The following is a 19,088-nucleotide window of genomic DNA, read 5'->3' as shown; positions in this document are numbered from 1 at the left end:
CTGGACTTAGCATGCGTGTGTGTGTGTGTGTGTGTGTGCGTGTGTGTGTGTGTGTGTGTGCGTGTGTGTGTCTTCCTCTTAATTGTTTTTCCTTTTTAATTGTCTTTCTTTTTTAAAATTAAAAATTCTTCTTTTACTCTGAATCAGTCTCTTAAGTTTTTGTTTGTTTGTTTGTTTGTTTGTTTTTGAGACGGAGTCTCGCTCTGTTGCCCAGGCTGGAGTGCAGTGGTGCGATCTTGGCTCACTGCAATTTCTGCCTCCTGGGTTCAAGCAATTCTCTTGCCTCAGCCTCCCAGACTAGCTGGGACTACAGGTGCCCGCCACCACACCTGGCTAATTTTTTTTATTTTTCAGTAGAGACAGGGTGTCACCATGTTGCCCAGGCTGTTCTCAGACTCCTGAGCTCAACTGATCTGCCCGCCTCGGCCTCTCAAAGTGCTGGCATTATAGGCGTGAGCCACTGTGCCTGGCCCAGCCTCTTAAGTTTTCATCATTAGATATCAAGCAGAAGCAAAGGAGTCTTCTTTCTTTTTTTTTTCCCCTTAAAAAAAAGCCTGCAGCACCTGCTATTCCCAGGCGGTCTCCCATCCAAATACTAACCACGCCCGACCCTGCTTAGCTTCACGAGATCAGGCTCATTCAGGGTAGTTTGGCCATGGACAGCAAAGGAGTCTCAATAAAACATGTTAGGCCTGAGGGAGGCACGGTGAGCCCCCACACAGAGCAGACCATCAGTTACCGAGGCGCTTGCAGCCTTCTGGGAATGGACTGGTCCCGGCCCTTCCCTGTCCTGGGAGCGAGCACTGTCTGCGGTGCTGAGTCTGGTTCCCTGGCCTTTCTTCATGGTTTCGCTGCAAACAATTGCAACCTTCCATGGTGTGTCATTCACTTTGACGTTTGTGAACTTTATATAAAGTGGGCCATGACGCACATTCTTCTGCAGTTTGCTTCTGGGACCCGTGTTAGGGCCCTGAGAGCTATTTGCTGTGTAGAGCTGTGTTTTCATTGTTGTGAAATGGTATGAGCGTACCACAGTGTATCCATACTTGGATAAAGACCCTTTTTTATTTCTAATTACAATTAGGTTTCCTCTTCTGTCATTTTCGGGATGTCTTGTATTAGACTAGAGGTGATATGGTGGTTTGATGCTATTGCTGACTTATGACTTTTTGGTGTCTAAAGTCTCTTTTCACCTGTTCTTGTTGGATTCCCTCACCCAAAGGCAGAGCTTGGACGTGAGATCCACGCCCTGGCATCGGCCAGCAAGCCCCTGGCCTCGTGGACCACCCAGCAAGGAATTCAGGAATGCCGGGAGGCGTGTGGAGGACACGGCTATCTGGCCAGTAGGTTTTGGAGAAGCGCATGGTGGTTTCCTGTCCTTAGCCCTGCTGTTTGACTCTAGACCAGGGGTCGGCAGACTGCGGCCTGAGGACCAAATCCAGCCTGCCACCTGTTTTTGCAAATAAAGTTTTATTGGAACACAGCCAGCCACCCCCGTTCATTTGCACATTTCCTGCAGCTGTTTTCGCACTGCAAGGGCAGAGATGAGTAATCGCAGCTGTGACAGAGACCATGTGGCTTACAGAGCTGAAAATATTTACTCTCTGGTCCATTGCAGAACAAGTTTGCCAACCCCTGCCCTAGATAGATCCCACTGCTTTCAGATGCCTGATGCTTCTTGGCCAAAATATAGGCAGAGAGCAGCTGATCTGCTCATTTGAATTTTAACTATTTGGTTAACAGCTTGGTAGTAAACTAGCACCATGTTTTGTTTGAATAGAAAATTCTTACACTTAGATAAAGAGTTAGTTATATCGGCATTGATGATGACTGAGGCAGCTGTTATATGGTTAAGAGCGGAGGCCACCAGCTTGCCTGGGATTGAGTCCTGGCTCCATCTAACAGCCTGGTAACTGTGGGCAGGTTGCTTAACCTCACTGTGCTCAGTTTTCTTATTTTTAAAGTGGGGGTGATAATAGTGTACCCACAACATAGGTTCTTGCCAGAATTAAGTGAATTACCACGTATGAAGTGTAAGCATGGTATCTGGCATGTAGTGCGTGCCCAATGACTTTTTTATTTGCTAATGCTGTTATTATTAGAATTATCATCAGCATTATTTACAGCTTACCTGCAAAACTTCCCGTGTGCTAATCTTAAATAATTAACTGGCAAAAACTGGTTGCTCAAAGAAGGCCATGTACACACTCAAAACAGCCACAGCATCAGCAAAACTCTCTTGCCCTCCAGGAGCACTTGGTCCTTGCCAAGTTTGTGAGAGTTTTTGTGATGCTCTATCTAGAACTACACACACACTTTCAGCGATCATCCGCCCACCACTGCAGTTCTAACTCGCACCTGTTCCAGCATGGGCTGTTAGCAACGTGGCCCCTCACTCCCACCACAATCTGTCTTTGTCACTTACTGACATGCGGGTAGCCATGGCTGTACACAAGTTACTCATTTGCATGCTTTGTCCTCTGCGCAATGCCCTTAGTAGTTTTTGTCTTTGTAACTCATCGGGATTCTATAAATAGTTGAATAAGGAAATTGAATCTTGCAGTACTGCAGACAACAAAGATGATGGAATCAAGATTAATCATATACATATACATATACATATACATATACATATACATATACACATACATATACATATACACATACATATACATATGCTGGGATTGAGACCAATATGACCGAGGCTCCATCTAGGTTTAGAAAATCAATTGCAAATGTTTCTGCTGAGGCCTCTCCCAGCTCTTGTTCAGTGGCCAACCTGTTACGTGGCAGGAAGCTCGTGGCATGATTTGACAGTAAGTCAGGAGAAAATCAGGTGTTCTAGGTGATCACAAGGCTAATCACAAGCGTGTTGGCAGTATGGCTGCAATAGGACTCCTTTCATGCTCTCAGGATCCATCAGTCACAGTACGTGAGTGTGAGAAGTCAGCTCCACTCCCTTCCTGCTAGGCCCATCCCAGCCTCACATTCAGAGAACACTTTCCATCACAGTAGGCAGGCTCAAGTGTGTGAGGGTCTGGAAAGCAAGCCTGACAACATATGTGAAGGCATCCAGCTAACTGATAGGAAAGACAAAAAACAGTTATCTTGAAATTTCCTGTGTTAAAAGAAGAGTTCATTCAGTTATGGACGGAAGAAGGGTAGCCCTGGGGGCATCAGCTCGCTGAGATGGCTCCCTCCTATCAGCAACCCCATGCCAGGGGAGGCTCTGCAGGGCTTGCTGACAGCAGTGAGGAGCTGGAGGTGGGATATGAAGCACAGGTGGCAGTTCTTTGTGTCTGGTCAAGCTGAGTTCAGGGCTTTTTTTTTTTTGGTCAGAGTCTTGCCCTGTCCCGGAGGCTGGAGTACAGTGGCATGACCATGGCTTACTTTTGCCTCAAATGCCTGGGCTCTTAAGCAATCCTCCCACCTCAGCCTCCTGGGTAGCTGGGACTAAAGGTGCGTGCCACTATGCCCAGCTAATTTTTTTTTTCATTTTTTATAGAGATAGGGTCTCACTATGTTGCCCAGGCTGGTCTCAAACTCATGGCTTTTTTTGTTGTTGTTGTTGTTGAGACAGGGTCTTGCTCTGTCACCCGGGCTGGAGTGCAGTTGCGCAATCTCGGCTCACTGCAACCTCCGCCTCCCAGGCTCAAGCGATTCTCCTGCCTCAGCCTCCCGAGTAGCTGAGATTACAGGCACACACCACCACACCTGGCTATTTTTGTATTTTTAGTAGAGGTGGGTTTCACCATGTTGGTCAGGCTGGTCTTGAACACCTGGCTTCAAGTGATCCACCCGCCTCGGCCCCCCAAAGTGCTGCCATTACAGGTGTGAGCCACCGCACCCAGCCTCTTAAGGCTTTTTAAATTCTCACATAGTGACAGGCTGCTTCTCAAATATGCGTCTTAAATGATGGTACTATTGTGGCTTTGTTGCAGTGAACCGGTTGGGTGTCCTTAGAGATGACAACGATCCCAACTGCACATACGAAGGTGACAACAACATCCTGCTGCAGCAGACAAGCAACTATTTGCTGGGTCTCCTGGCACACCAGGTCCACGGTGAGGCTCTGCTGCACACTGGTGGGGGCGCTGGAACCCAACTGGGGCAGGGGTGGGTTCTCCTGGCCTCACTGATTCAGCTGTTCTGTGAATGCATCCTAGGTTTGCAGAAGGAAAGAAATGTTATTAGATAGTGCCGACCAACTCCCCAAGGCATGGGCAAAGGCTGGGGTGGGGAGGGTCCTTGAGACCCAGACCCTCGCCTGTGGGTCTGTGGCCGTCGGGTCCTCTGGACACTCTCTGTGCTTTGGGGTGCCCCCAGCTTGGGGTTCCCAATGGTTTGGGTTCCTGTCTTCCACCAAAGTCACTGGAATGTGTGTCCTAGATGGAGCTTGCTTCCGCAGTCCGCTGAAGTCAGTGGACTTTCTGGACGCCTATCCCGGCATCCTTGACCAGAAGTTTGAGGTCTCCAGTGTTGCCGACTGCTTGGACTCTGCAGGTAAACACACAGGTGGAGGGCTCCCCTGGCCTCCTGATTTCCTGTCATTCCCACCAGGAAACGCACCGTGCCTCGGTGAGGGGACCCTTGGCAGTTCCAGCCGGGGCAGCAGTGGTGGTGGGAGGCCCCGCATGCAGCTTGTCCTGGGCTGGCTCATGGACTATCTCTTTGTGCCTGACGCCGAGTTAGGCGCTGACTCCACAGATGAATTGAAGGATGCCCACTTGCCACCTTATACCTTGCCTCTTGCCTTTCCCTCCCATAGGATAAAGGGCGTGAGAGGCCACCTGGCCTGGTCTCTGTCCACTAAGCAGCCTCTGCCCCCTGCCCTGGTGCCTGGGCTGCTGCTGTCCCTGGGCCCTCCCAGCCACCTCACCTGTCAGTCTTCCCCACTCCCAGGCCCTGCTGGCTCCCCAAACAGCAGATGCCCCTTCCCGCCCTGGCGCACCTCCCGCACCTCCTTCACTCGGCCCCTGTGGCACAGGCTCATCTCCTGTGGGTGCGGTGGTCGGGGTGGGGCGTCCTCCCAGGGCCCCGCACAGAGCTGGCCACGGACAGCCTCCTGCAGGTGTGTCATGGGAGCTGCTGCAGGCTCCGCCTCACCCACACGGGGTCTGTGGCTCAGAGAGGTGGGAGCGAGAGCTGGGAATGAGGCGCCTGGCCGTGCTGGCAGCATCGAAAGCAAAGCAGCTTCCCTGTAGACTGCGCTGGATCCTGACAGGGGATCCCTCTCCGGAGAGCAGCTGCTCTCGCGTTCCTGGGTTAATTCTGCACGTGCTCGTTATGTGCTCACTCTGCAGTTCTGGGGCTGGCGGCCAGCATGATGGAGAACCTGTGCCTGCCCTCATGGGACTTTACAGTCTAGACCAGCAGACACAGAAACATCCCAAGGCCTCAGTCTTAGGGCAGCAGGAATTCTGCAAAGCAGTGATCCTGGCTGGTGAGGTGGAGCGTGGCTGGTGACCACCTTGCAGGGGCCTTGGCCTTTGAATTGAGGTCAGTGAAAGGCGGGGGCAGCCATGGGGACCCCCGATGGACGGGTGTGTCAGGAGGCGGAGGCAGCAGGGCCCAGCCCATGCCGAGCTCATCTCGATGTGAGCATGCATCTCGTTCCCCTGCTGTGAATGACGGGAGGTGAGCGCAAGAGGCCTGGTGGAAAGGGGTGTGCTGTTTGTTTTGATGATTCATATTTTTAAAAATGTTCCTCATGGGAAAAGGCCACTCTGGCTGCTCTGTGGAAATGGAGGTGAGAGGCGGCTGGGACAGGTGAGGGGGTCTGCCCTGCGCCCCCACACAGAAGCACCCAGCCGAGCTCTGCGTGTCCTACAGGGCACTCCTGAAGGCTCCCTTGGTGCCAGCTGCCTGAGCGCAGGGAGGGGCGGAGCGAGGATTCAAACCCAAGCCTGTGGGACCGCAAAGCTCGGGATCTCTCGTTACTGCTCCTGGATGCTTCTTGCCCAGTGGTCTGGGTGCGATTTGACAGAAGAGCAGGGCTGGAGCTGCCCCCACCTCCGTGCCACCCGTGTCCCTGTCAAATGCCTTCCTCCCACCACAGCCCCCGTCTGTAAAGCCGCGTATCACAGAGAACAGCTCAAAGCCGCAGCAACGCCTCCATCTCGCCATCGCCTCACTCAGCAGTATTTAGTGAATGTCTTCACTTTGCCACCAAAGCACCTATTTGTGCAGAAGAGAAGGGCCGAGAGGGGTCCCGACGCCCTGTCCCGGCGGGCCAGGTAGAAACTGACTGCTCCCGTGACACCCGAGACGTGGAAGAGTAGCCCACCTTCCTGAGTGAGAGAGACGTCAGCTCCCGCCAGGCTGCCGGGGTTGATCCCGGTCCCTCCTCCTGCTGGCCGTGGAACCTACACCAAGTCCCTCAGCCTTCCTGCCTCGGTTTCCTCATCTGCAGCACGGGGACGGGGATGGTACCCCCTTCATAAGGTGTTTGTACCGTGGACTGAGTTCATGCACGTAAAGCACTTAGTGCAGCACTTGGCGCCACATCAGTGCTCAGCTCAGCAGCCACAGAGTTTGGACAGGAACCGCCCTCGAGGTGCCACACGTTCAACTGGGCAGATAGAGCGGGGACTTGGAGATGGAGGATGCTCTTGGCTTTGCATTCAGGAGACCAGAATGTGAGGCTTCCCTGGGGTTCTGGGAGGCCCCTGGATCCTCGGGAGGAGGGAGCACTGGCCTCCCTCATGCAGGGGACAGGCACACATGGAGGACGCGTTCCAGCCATCAGGACCGACGCCGTGGATGTGATAGCAGCCCCCGAGCGTGTGTCCTTGTCCGTCTCCAGCCCTACAGGCTACTTCCTTGTTCACACGGCAAAGAACAGGACAACAGCCGTGGCCGAAGCCGGTGTGGAGCCTGGGCCGGTCCGGCTTCCCAGCGCCTTCCCCTGCCCGCACCGTCAGCATCGTCATCAGGAAGCGTCTGCATCACTGCTTGCTTTCTCGTGGTCACTGCGCTGGGTTACAGCTTCTGACGGTAACTAACCGTGCAGATCTTAGCCTGCCTTTTTGGGTGCCAGTGGGAAACGGGGACACGTTTGATGACCTATTTCTGATGTTTGCAAGTCACTTTCTTTTTTTTTTTTTTTTTGAGACGGAGTCTCGCTCTGTCGCCCAGGCTGGAGTGCAGTGGTATGATCTCGGCTCACTGCAAGCTCCACCTCCCAGGTTCTCGCCATTCTCCTGCCTCAGCCTCCGGAGTAGCTGGGACTACAGGAGCCCACAACCACACCCGGCTAATTTTTTGTATTTTTAGTAGAGACGGAGTTTCACCGTGTTAGGCAGGATGGTCTCGATATCCTGACCTCGTGATCCGCCCACCTTGGCCTCCCGAAGTGCTGGGATCACAGGCATGAGCCACCACGCCCGGCCGCAAGTCACTTTCTAAGCTTCCCAAATGTTGCCACAGAAAGAACTAGAAAATGACCTAATCATTGTGGTAACTTCAACCCAACCAATACCTTTTTCCTAAAACCATCACTCCTTATATTAATAAAATCAAAACATAAATGGGACAGCCAGCTTCTCCATGTGCCCATCACGCTCTGCTCTTCCCTCCCCTTCCCCTGAGACTGAAAGCAAAAGCAATTTTACAGTCTCTCCATCATCAGGAAAGACACCAAAGTCATCTGCTTTTCTGCAACTGCTCTAATATTTACAAGATGCAACAAAGTGAAAACGTTTTCCGGAGTAACAAAGGCAAATGGCTTTCACTTGTTCAAAGTGGTATGGGAGAGAGACCGCCATTATCCCTCACGCCGCAGGGAAGCTTGTGGGTTCTGCCAGCCCCATCGTCTCAAGGGCATTTGGTCACAGATCCCAGGTCTCAGGGCTGACTGCAGCCTGCGTCATGTGGATCTTTGGTAAAAGCTGTTTAAGTGATGTGGGGCCCTCAGGCTCTGCAGGACTGGAGAGACACAGGCCCCTTCCGGGGTTGCGCTTGCCTGTGAGGAAGGGTGGAGGATTTGCCAAGCCAATGGCGGGTCCTTCAGGGGTTCGATTCTGACTTGGGTAGGGGAGGCTGGGTTTTCTGTTGAGTTCCTCTGATTTTTGCACAGGCATTTTTGCACTGAGCTGAGTGTCACAGCCCTGTGCCTTGGGGGCCTGTGCTGTTGCTTCCTGCAGTGGGCCCTGTTGTTTAGCTGGCTCGTATGCATTCATAGTAAGCAGTTGCAGTGTTCACTACTCGGACACGTGTGTATTTGTGGACTGCAAGGTCATGGGATGTGGGCCAGAGGTGACATAGGGTCATGTGTGAGCAGTGGGGTCACATGGGGTGAGTGGTGAGGTCACGTGGAGTGCACAGTGAGGTCATGTGAGGTGAGCAGTGAGGTCACAGGTGAGCGGTGGAGTCACGTGGGGGAGCGGTGAGGTCACGTGGAGTGCATGGTGAGGTCATGTGAGGTGGGCAGTGGGGTCATATGAGGTGAGCAGTGGGGTTCGTGGTGCAGACAGTGCTCCCAGAGGGTGGGAGCACAGGCTATTGGGTCAGCACTGCCCCCCGCTGTGACCTTGAGCTAGGCTTTAATCTCTCTGAGCCTGTTTTCCTTCTGCGAGACAGTGGGGAGGGAATGCGGTCACCCCATGCCACCTGGCAGGGGCCAGGCCATGGTGCCCTCGGTGGGGGGCTGCTGCGTGTGGGGGGCCACAGTCCTGAACACTTCCTTGGAAACAACAGATGCAGGTGAGGTCTGCCTTGGTGGGTCAGGGAATGTCTCCCACAAAACTGGCACCTGAGGGTGTCTCAGAGGGTCCGTGCGTTGTGCTTTTGGGGAGCACCGGCCATTCAGGAGCACCAGAGCGGCGGGCATGGTCAGACCCGGGCCTGTGATCTGGCTGAGGAGTTGGGGCCGCTGTCCAGGCCTTGCTTTCCAGGGCTTGCCTGGGTCAGAATCCGAGTTAGGAGTGCTCTGATGCTGACGCAGAGGGGACTGGACCCAGAGACGGGAGAGGAAACCGAGACCCGAAAGGCAGGCAGTGCATGCGAAGAGCTCACCATGGGGTCAAGGACAGAGCCCCAGCTGGGGAGGGGGCAGATCGAGGGGCAGTCATTGGGTGCACAGGGCGGCTGGGGGCACCTTCGAGAGTCCTTCTGGTGTGAGGCACATGGAAAGGCCGTGGTGACCCAGGATTCTGGGAGAGTCTTGAGGACAGAGGTTGTTGACGCTGGGTGTGTCCTCAGGCCGCCAGCAGCCGCATTCCGAGCAAGAGAATTCACTGCCCGTCAGTGCCCGTTTTCCTGCCTAGTTTGTTTCAGCGATACTTTTTCACTTCCACATTAACTCTGAAAATGACACACACAACACCCACCTTTCATTGTTTGCTTTCATGTGCTTTTTGGGGATCTTCTCCCCTGCACATGAACACATCAGACTGACATGATTTATTTTTTCACGAAAAACCAAGAACCAAAAGTAGAGTGTAAGGAAAAAACACAGTGCAAACATAACTCATTTCTCAAGCGTCCCTCTCACTTGAAGCCCACAGCACAGTCTAACTGGCCATCGACGTGAAGCCTCATGGATTAATTCTGGTTGCAGAGACAGATTGGAAAACTCGGGTAACTGCCGTGAAGTGTCCACCGCAGAGGGACACCTCCTGGGGCAGTGTTTGGGAATGGCCAGGACAGGCTGGGAGGGAAGCCCAGCCATGGCTGATGCGTGGTGGGACACGGGGGCCTCTGGTGTGGTCAGAAGGAATTTGCACAAGTGGTTTCTGGCCGGACCGTTTCCTTGGTTTTGTTGCTGTGTAAATAAGTCGTGGGAAGCACAACTGTACGGCGTCTACCTTTCCTTGCTGTTCGTGACCATCTGCCCTGCTGGGGAGAGCTTGGGATGTTGCAGAGCCTTTAGGAACAGGCGGTGGTCACAAGGGCCTCCCCTCAGCATTGGTTGCAAAATGGACCTGAGTTTTCCAGTAAAGTCCTGAAGGGTAGCATGTGAGGCTCAAGGATGACCCCTGGGCAGCCTGCCAGCAGCAGAGAGCCACGGCCTGGGCACTGAAGACAGCAGACAGTGACTCTCTTGGTGCAGAGGCAGAAACCCCAAGTCAGGATGGGGCAGGGCTACCCGCCTCCCTCTCGTGGTGGGGGGGCTTTTCCCGCCCAGGCTCCTGGCAGCTCCAGGAGTTCTTGGCTGTGGGTGCATCATGCCAGCCTTTGCCTCCTCTGTGACTTTGCTGTCTCTGCATCTTGTAAGGACACGTGTCATTGGATTTAGAATCCATCCTAGTCCAGGAGTCCCTGATGACCTCACCTGAATACCTCAACTTCATGACATCTTCAAAGACCCTCTTCCCAACAAAGGTCACATTCACAGCTGTGGGGGTCAGTTGGGGCCACCATTCAGCGCCCCATGCCTGGCAGGACTTGGCGAGGGGAGCCTTGGCTCCCTGAAGATGCCTGCATGGAGGAAGCCTCCGCCCAACCCTGCCTGTGCCCTGCCTGCGGGGTCAGCAGCACCCGTCTTTCCATCCCACTCCCTCTGGGGAGCTGAGACCTCCGGCAAGCCGCCTGACGTGTGAGCCTGGGAAACGGCCTGCTCTGGTTTGTGACGGGCTTCTCAGTTATGCCGTGAGGGTGAACAGATGTAACAGCCGAAAGCAGTCGGGTGTGCTGTGGCAGGAACTGCAACGTTGGGTATTTTCTTTTCTTTTTTTTTTTTTTTTGAGACGGAGTCTCGCTCTGTCGCCCAGGCTGGAGTGCAGTGGCGCGATCTCGGCTCACTGCAACTCCGCCTCCCGGGTTCACGCCATTCTCCTGCCTCAGCCTCCCGAGTAGCTGGGACTACAGGCGCCTGCCACTGCGCCCGGCTAATTTTTTGTATTTTTAGTAGAGACGGGGTTTCACCGTGTTAGCCAGGATGGTCTCGATCTCCTGACCTCGTGATCCGCCCGCCTCTGCCTCCCAAAGTGCTGGGATTACAGGTGTGAGCCACTGCGCCCAGCAACGTTGGGTATTTTCTTCCCAGTGACCTGGGCTGTGTGACATAGAAGGAAATCCCAAGCCCCACTGAGTTCAGCCTTTGGGCTCAGACTCAGTGTGGCTGATCCCCATTCTCCTGCCTGGGATCTCTGAGCAAGACCGGCTGCCAGGCAGAAGGCCCCTGCAGCCTGGAGGTGCCTCGTGTCTGGGCGCCAGGCCCTCTGTGCCTGGGCAGGGGGTGGGTGTGAGCGTGGCCTCCACATGTGGGTGGTCTGCACCCCTCCCTCACATGCTCGCCATGTACCTGGGTCCCTGGGCCCGTGTCCTCATCAGTGGGGTAGTAGCAGTACAGCCTGGTGGGGTCTCAGGACCATGCCTGGTCCATACGGAGTACTGTGGGAGGCCAGCTCTGGCTGTGCTGTGGGGGGCCCCGCAGATGTGGGCACCACTGCCAGGGGAAGGGGAGGACGAAGGGGGGTCTCCAGCTGTCCTGCCTGACACCCCACCCCGGGGCCTCCCTGTCTGCAACATCTGCTCCCTCCTGCCCTTTTGAGCTTTGTGGAAGGGGCCACGCAGGGGGTGAGGCCTTAGGTTCCCCCCTCCCCCACCATGTCAGTCCCCAGTTCCACAGCTCCAGCATGCGGTGAGGTCCAAGGGCCAGGCAGGGGGAGGCGAACGGAAGCACCCCTTCCTCTCGCCACTGGGCGCCACCGCCGGCCAGTTGTCCTGCTGCCCATGCAGTCCTGGCTGATGCTGTGGAGGCAGCACCACGCTTCACACAGACCGAGCCTGGTGCGTGCGAGAACGTGCAGCCGTCCCACTCGGGGGCCCACTCTAGCGGCGGCACCGTGTTCCTGTGGCCTCCAGGCTGCTGGAACAGTGTAGAACTCAGGACAGCCCTGGGCTGAGCCAGGAAGTGCCTCCAGCCAGGGGGGCCCTGGGCAGGTGCCCTCCCTGTGCTTCAGTTTCCCTACCTATAAAATCAGACCCACCCCATACACTTGGTTGTCAATGAAGACAACCTGGTACCTGCAGGATGCTGGCAGTGCCTTGTCCCTGGGGGTGAGTTGTGACAAATGCTGTGTTCTCTATTGTTACTTTTTCTCCTTCTGTTTGTCATTCCGAAGTCGCCCTGGCAGCATACAAGTGGCTGGTTTGCTACCTGCTCCGAGAGACTTATCAAAAATTAAACCAAGAGAAAAGATCAGGAAGCAGTGACTTTGAAGCAAGGAACAAATGCCAGGTAAGTATTTGTTTTCAAAATTCCCTTTTGTATTATTTGCTCTTAATTCCCTGGCCGTTGTGTCCCTGGGAGTTTGAACATCCTGGCAATTCAGGCCCCAGACCCCGAGCTCCCGTGACCTTGGGCAGATGACTTGATGACTTTGCTGCTTGCTCAGCTCCTCTGTAACACAGGGATGGCAGCACCTGTCTTGCTGGGCTGGGGAGGTCATGGATGTTACATTTACCGTGCCTGACGGTTCCCAGCCCGTAAACCAGAGCGGTGAAGCTCTGGGTTGTGAGAGCCTTGGATGCACAGAGTGGCGGAGACACCATTGCGGGCACTCAGAGCACTCCCTCCTGACTCGTGGGAGTGATGCCAGCGCCCTGCTTGGTTTTCCACAAGTTGCTCTCGCCTTCCCGAGGGGCTGGGGTGGCAATGGTGAGTGGGTCATCGTTGGCCTTGGAAAGCGCTTTGGTTCTCACACTTGGACAGGGCTGTCTCTCATGTTCCAGGAAGCCACAGGGAAAAAATAGCCTGTTATAAAACACCTTGTCATGCCAGGAACCTTCCAGCCCTGTCCCAGCCATCTGCCCTAGAGCAGAGCCCAGCCCCCACCCTGTCTAGGGGGCAGCCGGTGGGGGCAGTAGGGCTCCCGGATGTGTCTGTGGGTGCCATGAGCACTCTTGGCTGGAGTGCGCCAGCCCTAACCATAGCTGTGGGGAGACTCAGGCCATGAGTGTTGTGCAGGGAGGCCGTGGATACGGAGAGAGCTGCTGTCACCCCTTCTCCCTAGCGTCGGTTCATGAGGTTATGGGTCACCTTCAGTAATGAAGCTGCTATGGGGACCCAGGTCCACATCTGCCTGTCTCTGGGAAGGCCCAGCACCTCACAGCCTGCTGCTGGGGGGCAGCCCCGCCCCTCAGGCCAGCTCCTCTAGGAACCTGCTAGACACACCTGCCCTGGGATGAGGAGAGAAGGCAGGAAGGATGGGCTCCTGTCAAGCTCAAAGAAACCCAGATTGGGCCAGGTGCAGTGGCTCACACCTGTAATCCCAGCACTTTGGGAGGCTGAGACGGGTGGATTACAAGGTCAGGAGATCAAGACCATCCTGGCTAATACAGTGAAACCTGGTGTATCCTAAAAATACAAAAAATTGGCCAGGCATGGTGTCATGCGCCTGTAGTCCCAGCTACTTGGCAGGCTGAGGCAGGAGAGTCGCTTGAACCTGGAAGGTGGAGGTTGCAGAGAGCCGAGATCGCACCACTGCACTCCAGCTTGGGTGACAGAGCAAGACTCCATCTCAAAAAAAAAAAAAAAAAAGGAACCCATATTGAATTTATAACTGAAAAGAAATGAAGTCAGCAGGTGGCCAGGGTCTGTAAAACTTGTAGTTTAGGGCCATGGTGACCAAAGCGTGAAGTGACCCTTCCAGAACAGGCCGCCTTGTTTACCCACCTTGGGTGATACACAGCAGGTTGGGTCATTCAGAAACCAGTGGATGCCTGTCAGCTTCCACTGCTCCCTCCTCTGCAGGCCACATCCTTGCGTTAAGGTGGAATAGGCTGCTGCACTGGCTCATGTCTGTAATGCCAGCACTTTAGGAGGCTGAGGCAGGAAGATCGCTTGAGCCCAGGAGGTTGAGGCTGCAGTAGGCCGTGATCACATCACTGCACTCCAGCACGGGCAACAGAGCAAGACCCTGTCTCAGAAAAGAAAGAAAACATTTTTTTAATGGAATAGAGATTCTCCAAAGAGTTATGAAACAAGAACCCCAGAGATGGGGGGCACAAAAGGACCCCCTTCCTAACAACACCTGTGTCTCTTAGAACTGCCCGGTAGGTCCTTAGCACCCCCTTCCAGCCCCGATCTATGCTGGGGACCTGGCATGTGTGACCCCACAACACCCCGAGTGTGTGGCTCAGCTGCTGAGAAACCCCTCCTCACCTGTAGCTTTTCCTTCGAGAACTTGGTAGCAGAATTTCACGGAGGGCTGCGGCAGAGGCCAGGAGGGGTCCTGGGTTCTGATCCGGCTGAGACGGTGACCCTGGGCTGAGCTGTGGAGCTGACAGACACCCACAGACACCAGCCCCAAGGCCTTGGAGGGAAAACAGTTGCCAGGGCAGGGCTTCGTGTTCCAGACCTGCCCCGGGTCGCGGAGCTTTTAAGAGCAGGGGACATTTGTGATAGCTGAGAGCCCTTGGGGCCCTGGGCTGAATGCTAAGGGGGCCCAGGGGAGACGCAGCCCCTTCCCCTGCAATACGGCATACCAAGAAAGCCTCAGCCTAGACCAGCCTTTTCAGGAAGATGGGAACCGGAAGCTGTTAAAAAAACCATCGGATTTGGCTGCATAAAGGTTCAGCATTTCTGCATTGCAAAAGACGCTCTAAACAAAATCGGAAGACACACAGCAGCCTGTGGAAGCCCACGTAACATGTCGCCGACGGAGAACACCCCCAGGAAGGAAGGAATTCCTTCAGATAGATGCCAGCCTGGTCGGAAACCAGCCCCAGCAGCCACTGACCTGGAGCCAGGGCCAGGAGCTGCAGGTCAAAGCCACACTTCCACAGGCATCAGGCTGGGCTTGGGCAGCAGCACCGTTCATGGAGAGGGTGATGGCTGTGTCCTTTGGGAAGGTTACTGACCATTTTTGTTAAAAATGTGCTTACTCTTTGACCTGGTGGAGAAAATCTATTAACTTTTAAACATTTTCTGGCTCCTGCCAGTAACTGCTATCCACCATTTACCCACTGTAAGCCTGGCATGCACAGAAAGGTCTTTAAAAATGCATTTCTCTCATTTTTTGGCTGAGTGACACCTTTACATGTTCAACAGCCAGTAGATACAAAAGATGGGTGGTGGCGTCCCTCCTCCCTACCTCTAGCCTGGGAGTAAAAAGATGGGCGATGGCGTCCCCGCAGCCTGCCTCCAGCCTGGGAGTAAAAAGATGGGCGGTGGCGTCCCTGCAGCCTGCTTCCAGCCTGGGAGTAAAAAGATGGGTGGTGGCGTCCCCGCAGCCTGCCTCCAGCCTGGGACCAACCCCTGCCACAAGGGCTCGAGGTTTCCTTCAGGGATTTGCACATCAGAAGGCGGACAAGGACGAGGACATTTGTTCTCCCTGAGCCACACGCTGGATTCTGTACCTGGGTCATTTCACGTTGTCTACTTTGGGAGTGAAGGAAGTTGAGGCCAAGAGAAATGCCCAAGGTCCCCCAGCTCGCCCGTGCCGGGGCCAGGATTGCACCCGGGCCAGCTGTCACAGAGTCCAACCCTTTCCCCAGGCTGCATGGCTGCAGTCTGAATTTGGACAGTTTGGGGTTTGTTTTTTTGCCTGAAGTATGCATTGCCTCTTAAAATGTACTTCACCAACCAGAGTGTACCAGACTGGGACCCTCTCCTCTCTCCTGTGCTGAAGGTTTACGGACAGCTGACCTTAGCTGCATCGAGCCTGAGAAGTGCCTGTCACAGTCCTAGCTGGGGACAGTTTGGCAGCTCTGGAGGGGCAGCTGAGGTGGTCCAGAAGATCCCCCTAGAGCAGAGCCCAGCCCCGCCCTGTCTAGGGGGCAGCTGGTGGGGGCAGTGGGGCTCCCGGATGTGTCTGGGTGCCGTGAGCACTCTCGGCTGGAGTGCGCCAGCCCTAACCGTAGCTGTGGGGACACTTTGTCCGTGGGGGAGGGACTGCACCTGAGGCATTACTGTCCCCCCGGGTCGCCAGAGTCCATACCGCATGGGATGCTTCCTGGGCCCCAGCCCACCTTGGTTAATGCTGTGGTCAGCTCTGCTGGTTGCCATGGCAGACACTGTTTAGGGAGCCCATCCCCAGAGCCTGTGTCCCCCCCGGTGACTGCTGGCCTTACGTGGACCTTTCCTGGAAGAACAGCGCAGTATCATGCAGGCAAATCCTGGGGACTGAGATGCCGTTGAGTACAGTAGAGCTGCCATCGCAGGCGCTTCCTGTGAGAGAGCCGCCCTGACCCCAGCAGCACCACGCAGGAGACAACGCTGAGGCTTGGAGCCATGACGCCTTTTGCTCACGCGCAGAGCTGCAGAGCCGAGTGACGCTGTGTTTCAAAACTCACTGGCACTCGCGATGCATTATTTGACAGCAGCAAGGTTCCAGGAGGGGCTGTCTTTCTGGCCCCCGCAGCATGTCTGGCCTGTGCCATCGCTGTATCAAGCTGTGTCACTTTCATGGAAAAACACTGAAGCAGTGCCGCTCTAACACAGCAACTGTGCAGGCGACGGGGAGAGTGGTGCGGGGCACAGGGCTCACTCAGATTCGGTTCAAGGACGGCCTCTCTGTGCCTGGGCCCTGCTGGGATTGGCCTCATCTCTGGGTTCGCAGAGGACCCATGGCGAGAGGAGAGGCCCTCGTGGTGTGGGAGCACGTTTTGGGGTGTGGGCAGGATTCAATGGAATTATCGTGTTCTCGTGGACACAGGAGCAGCCTACGGGGGTGCAGATGCCGTCACCCGCTTGTTTCATGGAAGGTGGAAGGAGGAAGGGCTGAGGCCTGGAGCTGCAGCACCACACCTGGCAGCTCCCCCACAGGCCTGTATTATCAGCCTCCTGCCAGAGGCCTCAGGTGGGAGCCTGAGGGCTGCCCCACCTCACTCGGCAGGGCTCTGGGAAATTTGGGTGCTAGTCCTACCTAGCTGGGGTCTGTCAGGCAGTCCCTACTGCCCCAGAGCAAGTCCAGATCCTGCCACCAGCCCTCACTCACCAAAACCAAGGCCCAGAGCTATAGCGCATGTGAGATCAGAAGAGGGCAGGAAGCCCCAAGGCCCCATGCTGGCATGCTCCATGCTCAGACAGCAGGGAGCAGGACGGGCCTTCCTGGCACCGACAGGACGGCCCACCCAGGAGTGTGCGGGGCCCAGCGGGGGTCTTGGGACAGGACCAGTCAGCCTGGCATGAAGCACAGCGGGAAAGGCGCTTCTCCCGGTTTCTGTTTTCCCGAGGCTCCTGATCCCAGCAGGGCCCTGGAGGACACTGGCTTTGTGACTGGAGACCCTGCTGCCGTGTGCTTCACCCTGCTGTGTTCTGGGAAGATTTGGGGCAGCGTCATAGCAGCGTCATAGGCCAGGCATGCAGCCGGGTCCTCCTGCAGCAGTCAGTCCCCCATACACCATATTTCATCACTTGGCTGGATTTTTTTTTTTTTAATTTTAAAAGTAGCACCTGCTCATCCTAACAAGTCAAGCAATGCGTGTGTTGTTTTCCTAATTTAAAAAATCTGGTAAGATGATAAATGGGAGACAGGGAAAGAAAGGCTAATAAGTGAAGTTGATGATTATCAGCAAATGTTTTTGATATTCATTAAAAAAGAAAAATAACAGATGCTGGCGAGGCTGTAGAGAAAAGTGACACAGATACACGGTTGGTGGGAACGCAGATTCGTTCAGCCACCGTGGAGGGCAGCTTGGCAATTTCTCAGAGAGCTAAGAGTTGCCCTTCCCCTTGACCCAGTGATCCCATTACTGGGTATACACCCCAAAGAAAAGCAATCATCCTGCCAGCCAGATACATGTACCTGTATGTCCATCGCAGCGCTATTCACAATAGCAAAAATGTGAAATCAACGCAGGTGCCCATCAGCGGTGGACTGGATAAAGAAAATGGGGTACATAGACACCATGGGATACCGTGCAGCCATCACTACGAACAGTCATGTCTTTTGCAGCAACATGGATGCAGCTGCACGCCATTATCCTCAGCAGACTAATGCAGCAACAGAAAATCAAATGCTGCATGTTCACATGTACAAGTGGGAGCTAAACATGGGGCACTCATGGACATAAAGATGGGAGCGGCAGAGCCTGCGGGGGCCTTACGGCAGGGGGAGAGGGAGAGAAGCCTGCTTTGGAGGCTTTGGAGGACGGGGTGGCAGATCTTTGGAGAAGTGAAGTCAATTCTGAGCTCAGGGAGGAGCCTGACAAGCCCCTTCTCCAGCTCCTCTGTGTCTTCCCGTGTGGAAGAAGCCAGGTCCTGGGCCCTTGGGGGCCTCCTGGTGGGCGCCCACTCTGTAGCCGCAGAGCATCCCGAGGCCGGCTCCAGGCTCCGTATGCAGTGCTGGTGCCAACCCCAGTCCCAGACGGGAGCTGAGCTGAGACTGAGGCCTTGGAGGGCGTCGGTGGAGCCAGAGCAGTCCCAGCTCCATCTTCATAGGCCTCTTCCATTGTGTTCTGGAAACATGTCTCGTGCTGCGCCGCATCTGTGCTCTGCCTCACCTTATGTTACTGTCCTAGGACATGCACGGGAACGCAGACCCGCGTTCGTGTTTCCTGAGAACTTCCTCCCCCGGGAATCTGGGCGGGGCTGGGACCCTCACGGTCCTCACGGTGCCGTCCTGTGTTCCAGGTGTCCCACGGCCGTCCGTTGGCGCTGGCCTTCGTGGAGCTCACGGTGGTCCAGAGGTTCCACGAGCACGTGCACCAGCCTTCCGTGCCGCCCTCGCTGCGGGCCGTGCTGGGGCGGCTCAGTGCTCTGTACGCCCTGTGGTCCCTGAGCCGCCACGCGGCCCTGCTCTACCGAGGTGAGGCTTCTGACTGCGGGCTTGCTGTCCTCCCCAGAGTCAGGGCCCCCGTGTTGTATCTAGGAAGCTGCTTCCTGCACCATCGTCCTCCTTCCACGGGACTCACTGAGCACGGCGGATGGCGCTGTGGACAGATGAGAAGCCCAGTTCCATAATGAGAAGCATATGGGGCAGAGCAGCGTCAGGGTGGTGCCGAGAAACCCAATTTTTCTTTCACTTGGGGTTCGGTTCAGAGAACACTTCCAGAAGGCCCCCTCATGCCAGGCAGCCTGCCGGGCTCTGCAGAGAGCAGAAGCCCACCCACTAGGTCCCATAAGGCACAGACAGACACGAGCCAGGAGTGCCTAGACTTGGGAATACTGGAAGGCTTCCTGGAGGAGGGGGTGCTGG

The 19,088-nt window shown here is 55.3% G+C and overlaps 1 protein-coding gene and 1 pseudogene across 23 annotated transcripts in view, besides 5 other annotated features; one reads left to right on the top strand and one right to left on the bottom strand.

Moving 5' to 3' along the window:
* Positions 1 to 19,088, top strand: part of ACOX3 (acyl-CoA oxidase 3, pristanoyl) — an 85,419-nt gene that overhangs the window by 47,048 nt on the left and 19,283 nt on the right. For 16 of the 23 annotated variants that reach the window (XR_007057969.1, XR_007057970.1, XR_007057968.1 and 13 more), the window contains 5 exons: positions 1,223 to 1,343; positions 3,942 to 4,064; positions 4,390 to 4,503; positions 12,069 to 12,184; positions 18,524 to 18,698. Coding sequence is in view for 18 of the 23 variants with exons in the window: in NM_001375784.1 (NP_001362713.1) it covers positions 1,223 to 1,343; positions 3,942 to 4,064; positions 4,390 to 4,503; positions 12,069 to 12,184; positions 18,524 to 18,698 (649 nt within the window). In the remaining 5 variants the exon portion in view is untranslated. Of the gene's footprint in view, positions 1 to 1,222; positions 1,344 to 3,941; positions 4,065 to 4,389; positions 4,504 to 5,303; positions 7,535 to 12,068; positions 12,185 to 18,523; positions 18,699 to 19,088 lie in introns of those variants that run through there. The other 7 variants (XM_047416231.1, XM_011513566.2, NM_001375790.1 and 4 more) reach the window with 3 other exon arrangements.
* Positions 241 to 1,046: an enhancer, noted in NCBI's record as "H3K4me1 hESC enhancer chr4:8394357-8395162 (GRCh37/hg19 assembly coordinates)". NCBI's record gives its function as "activates a minimal SCP1, AML or CMV promoter by ChIP-STARR-seq in naive H9 embryonic stem cells {active_cell/tissue: H9 hESC(naive)}" and the evidence as "EXISTENCE:reporter gene assay evidence [ECO:0000049][PMID:30033119]".
* Positions 552 to 661, bottom strand: RNA5SP152 (RNA, 5S ribosomal pseudogene 152; annotated as a pseudogene).
* Positions 10,996 to 11,594: an enhancer, noted in NCBI's record as "H3K4me1 hESC enhancer chr4:8383809-8384407 (GRCh37/hg19 assembly coordinates)". NCBI's record gives its function as "activates a minimal SCP1, AML or CMV promoter by ChIP-STARR-seq in naive H9 embryonic stem cells {active_cell/tissue: H9 hESC(naive)}" and the evidence as "EXISTENCE:reporter gene assay evidence [ECO:0000049][PMID:30033119]".
* Positions 11,595 to 12,194: an enhancer, noted in NCBI's record as "H3K4me1 hESC enhancer chr4:8383209-8383808 (GRCh37/hg19 assembly coordinates)". NCBI's record gives its function as "activates a minimal SCP1, AML or CMV promoter by ChIP-STARR-seq in naive H9 embryonic stem cells {active_cell/tissue: H9 hESC(naive)}" and the evidence as "EXISTENCE:reporter gene assay evidence [ECO:0000049][PMID:30033119]".
* Positions 16,901 to 17,418: an enhancer, noted in NCBI's record as "H3K27ac-H3K4me1 hESC enhancer chr4:8377985-8378502 (GRCh37/hg19 assembly coordinates)". NCBI's record gives its function as "activates a minimal SCP1, AML or CMV promoter by ChIP-STARR-seq in naive H9 embryonic stem cells {active_cell/tissue: H9 hESC(naive)}" and the evidence as "EXISTENCE:reporter gene assay evidence [ECO:0000049][PMID:30033119]".
* Positions 18,565 to 19,065: an enhancer, noted in NCBI's record as "H3K27ac-H3K4me1 hESC enhancer chr4:8376338-8376838 (GRCh37/hg19 assembly coordinates)". NCBI's record gives its function as "activates a minimal SCP1, AML or CMV promoter by ChIP-STARR-seq in naive H9 embryonic stem cells {active_cell/tissue: H9 hESC(naive)}" and the evidence as "EXISTENCE:reporter gene assay evidence [ECO:0000049][PMID:30033119]".

This window comes from Homo sapiens, chromosome 4, assembly GCF_000001405.40.
Source record: "Homo sapiens chromosome 4, GRCh38.p14 Primary Assembly".
NCBI classification, from domain to species: Eukaryota; Metazoa; Chordata; class Mammalia; order Primates; family Hominidae; genus Homo; species Homo sapiens.
The sequence above is the reverse complement of the archived record's forward strand: the minus strand, read 5'-3'. Positions and strand labels throughout refer to the sequence as shown.